The sequence below is a fragment of the Homo sapiens genome, chromosome 4 (genome assembly GCF_000001405.40).
Source record: "Homo sapiens chromosome 4, GRCh38.p14 Primary Assembly".
Taxonomy (NCBI): Eukaryota; Metazoa; Chordata; class Mammalia; order Primates; family Hominidae; genus Homo; species Homo sapiens.
Window position 1 is genome coordinate 121,524,328 of NC_000004.12, and position 6,958 is coordinate 121,531,285.

The window sequence follows — 6,958 nt, forward strand, 5'->3', positions numbered from 1 at the left end:
AGATGATGGTACTGGCAGATAAAATTTATCTGGACCACATTGAAGTGAGAGCGTCTAAGGAATATGGGCAGAATCTTGACAGCATTGCTATTCCTGGTAATGGTGTTTGTCAACAGAGGATTGGGAAAGAGCCATAATGAGAAGTCTCTTCTTTCCTAATATTGGTGTCATTTGATTAAATGATATTAAATGTCAAAGTCTAAATCTGGGGTAGGAAAGAAGGATGGGGAGGAGTGAGCACTAATAATAGTACTGGAAATGAAGAATTATGTATAGTTGAGGTCATACTGGATTGGAGTGAACTCTAAACACACTGACTTGTGTTATTTCGGGGGCGGTGTGAAGACACAGGAATACGACATAACAACAGATACAGAGCCTGGAGTAATGACAGTACAAGTCAAGGAACACCAAGGATCACCAGCTGCCACCCAACCCAGGAAGAGGTAAGGAAGGATCATCCTCTCCTAGAGTCTTCAGAGAGAGCATGGCCTTGTTGACACTTTGATTTCAGATTTCTGGCCTCCAGAACTGTGGAAGAATAAATTTCTGTTGCTTTAAACCACGCACTCAATAGCAATCTGTTATGGCAGCCATAGGAAACTTATACTTGCCCTAACTCCTAGGAGGCAGCCTTCTGTGGATCAAATAAAAGCCTGAAGTTTCCACCAAGGCCAATCTACCTATCTGTCCCCCTTCCCAGCACCATATGGCTGCTGAAATCTTTGCTCAGGTCCTTAGCCTCCTAGCTACTGCTTTGTCCTGCACAAGTTAGGAGTTGCCAGATGCCTTGAGAGGAGATCACGCAAATATTTGGAGCTCACCTGTGGTTCTCTCCTCTTTAGGATTTTGCTCCTCAAGTCATTGTACTTTGGTACCTACGAATTTCAACCTTGTCCTTCATACCCCGTGGGTGTGAAGATTCCTGGCAGGACTCTATTTCCACGCTGCAACTAGGTAAATAAATGTTCCCAGGAAAAACCTTTAGAGTTTAGTATAGAATTATAGATTCAAAAGCAGTTTTCCTTGAAACTTTGAAAGCATTGGTTCATTATTTTTTAGTATCCTGGGTTGCTGATGTGACATTTTATTAAAAGCAAAACAAAACAAAACAAAAGCTCTGCTCATTACTCCGCCACCCGCCATACTCAGATTCTTATTCTTTCCCCTGATTTTCTGAAATTTATAAGGTTGTGTCCAAGAATTGCAGTTGTTTTTTTTTTATTATTTATCCTGTTCAGCACTTGGTGGACTTTTCAGCAGAGAAACTTCAAATCATTTTTTTTAATTACATGAATTTTCTTCTATTTCTCTTATTAGTTCTTCCAACTAATTTTCTATCATTGATTTAAAAGATAGACCTCCTAGACTGATCATCTATGGCTCTCTCAGTAATTTTTCTCATATTTTTCATCTGTTAGTCTTTTGTTCCATATTAAAAAATGACTTCTTCAAATTTTATTTTAGGTCCTTCTATACCTACATATACCAGTATCTATTTATATTCCTATAGAATATATTTTAATTCAGAGTACCTTATTTTTCCAGTTTCCAAAAACACATTCTTATTTTCTGATTGATCTTTCCTCACAGCAGGCTGTTTCGCTATTTCTCAAATGTCTCGGAGGTAAAATTCTGGAAGAATAAGTAAGATACAGGTAGTAGTGATCCTCTCTGAGAAGGAGAACTGGGGCCACGATATACAATAGGAACTACTATATAATTTGATTTTTTTACTATACACATACATTTGTACATTACTTAATTTTTAAAAGTTTGCCAATAAATATCTCTCTGAAAATATAAAAATTCAGATTAATTATTTTGTCCTTTGATCTTATCTTTTGGTGCTGTGGTCAGGCATTTATTTGTTCATTTTTGTTTTTCTCTCTCTTGGGCTGCTGATTTTCCTCAAACATTTGATATCCCTTGATAGTCTGTTCACAGATACAAATGAGAACTATGTTAATTAAGATACATAGATGATGTGGGTTTCGTCTGTCATTGTTTAAACTCATTCTCCCCTACAGTATGCTTCCTTGCATGGGAGTGGGACTGCGTGCTCTGAGCACGTGGGTAGGGTCTTTCTTTAGGATGTGTAGGTGGGGAAAAAATCAGAGGAGATGGAGACCCTTCCATAAAAGATTATTTGCAAAAATCACTGCAACTATTCCTTTCCCTGTGTGTATATCCCTTGCCATATGACATTGCAATTTCTTCCACAAAGAGGAGGAGTCGCAAGGAAGACCTTGTAATTTGCTTTTGCCAATAAAGTTCAATAAATGTGCTGATGTGCCAGTTCCAACCTAGGCCTCAAGAAGCCTGGCAAGCTCTCGCTCGCTCTCTTGGAAGCCTAGCCAGCTGCCATGTGAACAATCCTAGAATAGCCTGACAGGACAAGTTACCATAAGGAGCAGAGATGAGGCATCCAGCCTAGGCCATTCTAGTTTATCCACCCCTCAGCTGACCCAGCAATGTACTTTAAATGTATAAATGAGCCCAACCAAGACCAGACCACTCAGCTGAGCCTACCTCAAATTGCCAGCTAAAATAAATGGTTACTAGTTTTTTTTTTTTTTTTTTTTTTTTTTTGAGACGGAGTCTCGCTCTGTCGCCCAGGCTGGAGTGCAGTGGCGCGATCTCGGCTCACTGCAAGCTCCGCCTCCCGGGTTCACGCCATTCTCCTGCCTCAGCCTCCCAAGTAGCTGGGACTACAGGTGCCCGCCACCATGTCCGGCTAATTTTTTGTATTTTTTTTTTTTTTTTTTTTTTGAGACGGAGTCTCGCTCTGTCGCCCAGGCTGGAGTGCAGTGGCGGGATCTCGGCTCACTGCAAGCTCCGCCTCCCGGGTTCACGCCATTCTCCTGCCTCAGCCTCCCAAGTAGCTGGGACTACAGGCGCCGGCCACTACGCCCGGCTAATTTTTTGTATTTTTAGTAGAGACGGGGTTTCACCGTTTTAGCCGGGATGGTCTCGATCTCCTGACCTCGTGATCCGCCCGCCTCGGCCTCCCAAAGTGCTGGGATTACAGGCGTGAGCCACCGCGCCCGGCCAAATGGTTGCTAGTTTAAGCCACAAAATTTTGGGGTAGTTTGCCACCTAACATTTTCTGATTGATACATTCTTCCTATCCACACCTAAATACCAAATAAAGAAAATGTTATTATTCTGGTGTGCTAATGCTCATGCCAGAAGCCCTAGAATCCAGAAGACGTATCTTTCAATCTTTTTGGAAATCAGTTTCCTTGCCATATTGCCAATTACTCTGTATATTCCAGGGAGGAGAAGGGGATGAACTTTCTCAATTTGTCACCTCATTTTTCTGCCCCATGCTTAACCCCTATTCTTACTACCTGCTGACGCAATTTGACAACCATTACTAGAACCACATACGGAAAACAGCAGCCAAGGCTATACCCAAGCTGCCCTTAGAATCCTCTATTCACTGCAGCCCTTGGGTATGTGCATTCACAGTAGAGATTTTCTTCTGCCTTTAATTAGTGTCTCAACTCTGCTAGAAATTCACTCTTTTATGTGTCTCTTTTTTCTGGTCATTTTTAATTTAATCATTATAGTGAAATATATCATGCATGGAGAAAAGGGTATAAAATATTTATGTACAGTTACAGAATAATGGCAAAATTAATACTCATGAAGCTGTCACCCAAGTGAAAAGGATTACCCAATGCCTTAGAAGTTCCCCATGTGCCTCTTCTCAAATGTATTCCCCAGCACTCCCAGGAAATGACCACTGACAAGACTTTATCTTAATTATTTCTTTGCTTTTACTTGTAGTTTTACTAGCCATGTAAGAATCTCTAATCTTTAGTTTTTTAAAAAAATGAATAGAAAGTATAAACTGAGCTGTATGAGGAAATGGCAATATTGCCACCATCAGATGAAAGCTCCCAGGAGAAAGATAAACTGGACAGCCTTGGGTCACAGTGAAATTTCACCTTCACTGAGAGTTTATCCATCCTTTCTGGGGAATTAAATGGGCAGTGTACGAGAGGGTCCTGGGAACCACTGGGCTTCTGCAGTTGGGTTGTCTGATAGAACTATATTATGAACTAGGCATGAGACACTGGCATAAAGATAGTCAGAAATAGTAGATTTCTCAATTTTTTTCTTCTATGTTCGTAATGCCAAATTTTGTTTCCCAGGGGAAGTTTAGGACAAAACACTTCTGTGTGGTGATATGTGGAAAGGTCCTTAGCTGATCCAAGCAGTGGGACATGAAGGGGAGAGTAGAAATGTCACCAGCACCAGTAAGGACATGCCTAGTACAGATGAAAAATGGGATCAAGATCATATGACCTTTGTCCTCACCTTTAAAAGATAACTCAATGACAGTAGATATATCATTGATGACAGCCCTCTGATGACAGCCCTCAAAAAATGCATCACCAAGTCAGATCTCTTTCACAGACTCCTGACTCAGACTTCCTGACATTTCCATTGAGATTTCTAATAGATATATGAAACTCAAATGTCCAAGATGAACATCTAAACTCCCCCCATACCCAAATATCAGCTCCAAATTTAGCTTTCCCCATTTCAGTTGATAATAACCCATCCTTCCAGGGGCTCATGCCAAAACTCTGGTCTCCTCCCTAACTCTTCACTCTCACATGCCAAAAACAATTCATTAGAAAATCCAAACTCTTGTGCCATGGCAAACTACCTAAACAGAGTGGTCCTTCTAAAATTTAAGTCAGATCATGTGACTTCTCTCTTCATAAGCTTTCAAAACGTCTTCCTATTTCACATAGAATAAAAGCTAAAGTCACCATGGTAACCCATAAAGACTCCTTCCTCTGCTTCTCTGACATTCTCAAATTTCGGCTAACTTTATGCTAGCCTCAGTGGCTCTTTTGCAGTCTCTTGATCATACCAGGATGGCAGATGAGCTCCCACCTTAAGGAGTTGCTCTAGCTATTCCTTCAGCCAAGATCACTCTTATCCCAAATATCTACTTGGCCAAATACTCAGCTCCTTCAACTCATTGCTCAAATCTTTCCTTCTCAATAAGTCCTACCCAGACTATCCTACTTAATATTACAAACTGCCCCTACCCACTACCCCTGACACACTCAATCATCTTACACATCTCTAGTATTTAAAAAAAGTTCTGGAGCACCAAACACTTTCTAACACATTATATAATTTACTTGCTTATTGTGTATGGTTTGTTTTCCACCCCCCACAATAGAACATAGTCACATGAGGGCAGATATTTTTGTCTTTGTCCTCTTTGTTCGCATATGCATGCTAAGTGCCTAGAAGAGCATCTGGCACCTAGTAGAAACTCAGAATATAATCAGTAAATAAACAAATGAACATACTCATCTTTTTAATCCCTCTGCTCCAATGTGGATTGGTCGGTCGCTCTCTGTCTGGTCCATAGCTGTACACATGAGATCTCCCTTCAGGATCCTCCTGGAGATTCTTTTTGTCTCTTGCCAAAGCTGAAACACCTATTTCCCGTATTCCCTTTCTTGGCTTACTTTCTTATTTGGATACAGCACATCCTCCTATAGCTTCTTAATAAATGGTGTGGGGAAGGCACATTTTTTGAGACTTTACATATATAAAAATGTCTTTATTTTATCCTTCTGTTGATTTGGCAGTTTGATTCATTATACAATCCTACGTTGGAAATAATATCTTTTCAGAATTTTTTTCTGCTTGCTCCAGTGTTTCTGTTGAGATATCCAAATCATTGTGATGCCTGATCTTTTGTATGTGATTTGTTTCTCTCTCTGAAAGTCAGTAGAATATTTTTGTTCTCACTGTTCTGATATTTCAGAATCATGAGCCTTGGTGTGGATATATTTTCATCCAATATTCTGGGTTTTTAGTGGATCCTTTCATTCTGGCAATTCACATCTTTCAGTCCTGGGAAGATTCTTCTATAATTATTTTAAGGATTTCACCCATTGTTTTTTCTGTTCTCTCTTTCTGAATCCTCTACTATTCATATTTTAGACTTTCTAGATTGGTTTCTGCTTCTGTTTTCTTGTATGCCCAATTTACTATCTGGTAGTCTTTTTCTTCTAATTTCTTGGAGATGTCCTCAACATTGTCCTCCAACCTTTTATTGTGTTTTCACTTTCCCATAATATTTTTAATTTCTAAGAGCTCTTTAAGTTCTCTGAATTTTTCTTTTTTATTCCATTCTTTTCTTATTTACATTTTCATTTATCTGTTGGTTGGTTTTTTGTTTTTTTTTTAATCGTCTACGTTAAAGCCTTCCCCGGGTATCTATTACTATTTGGCAATCAGTTTGTGATAAAGAGTGCAGGACTAAAATGCTGATTGGAATTTCAGAGCACATGGGTAGGGTCTGTAGATGTGGGGTATTATTGTGAAGTAACCTTTGGGAGTTGATATGTTTGGCTGTGTCAGCACCCAAATCTCATCTTCAATTGTAGTTCCCATAATTCCCGCGTGTCGTGGGAGGGACCCAGTGGGTGGTAATTGAATCATGGGGGCATTAACCCCCATGCTGCTGTTCTTGTGATAGTGAGTGAGTTCTCATGAGATCTGATGGTTTTACAGGGGGCTTTTCCCCCTTTTGCTTGGCACTTCTCCTTGCTGCCATCATGTGGAGAAGGACATGTTTTCTTCCGCTTCTGTCATTATTATAAGTTTTCTGAGGCCTCCCCAGCCATGCAGAACTGTGAGTCAATTAAACCTCTTTCCTTTATAAATAACCCAGTCTCAGGCAGTCCTTCATGGAAGCGTGAGAAAGGACTAATATAGGAGCCTTCTTGGAGAAAAACTCCAAAGTCAATATTATTAAATCTTTTCTCTTGCATTGGTCAAGTTCCCCAGAGAAGTGTCTTCCATCTCCTTCCCAGAGGGTAGGAATCTGGCTGCCAACTTTCCAGGAGGGGAGTATCTGTATATTCAGCATCTATTTTGCATAAGGTCATTTAATCCCTCTTTGTTGTAT

At 40.1% G+C, this 6,958-nt stretch overlaps 1 long non-coding RNA gene across 1 annotated transcript; it reads left to right on the forward strand.

Annotated features, from left to right (window-relative positions):
• The first annotated feature begins 229 nt into the window (after nucleotides 1-229).
• Nucleotides 230-4,630, forward strand: LOC107986310 (uncharacterized). Its single transcript, XR_001741807.1, has 3 exons — nucleotides 230-446; nucleotides 846-957; nucleotides 4,164-4,630. It is a non-coding gene; the product is annotated as an uncharacterized LOC107986310 (long non-coding RNA).
• The last annotated feature ends 2,328 nt before the right edge of the window (nucleotides 4,631-6,958 follow it).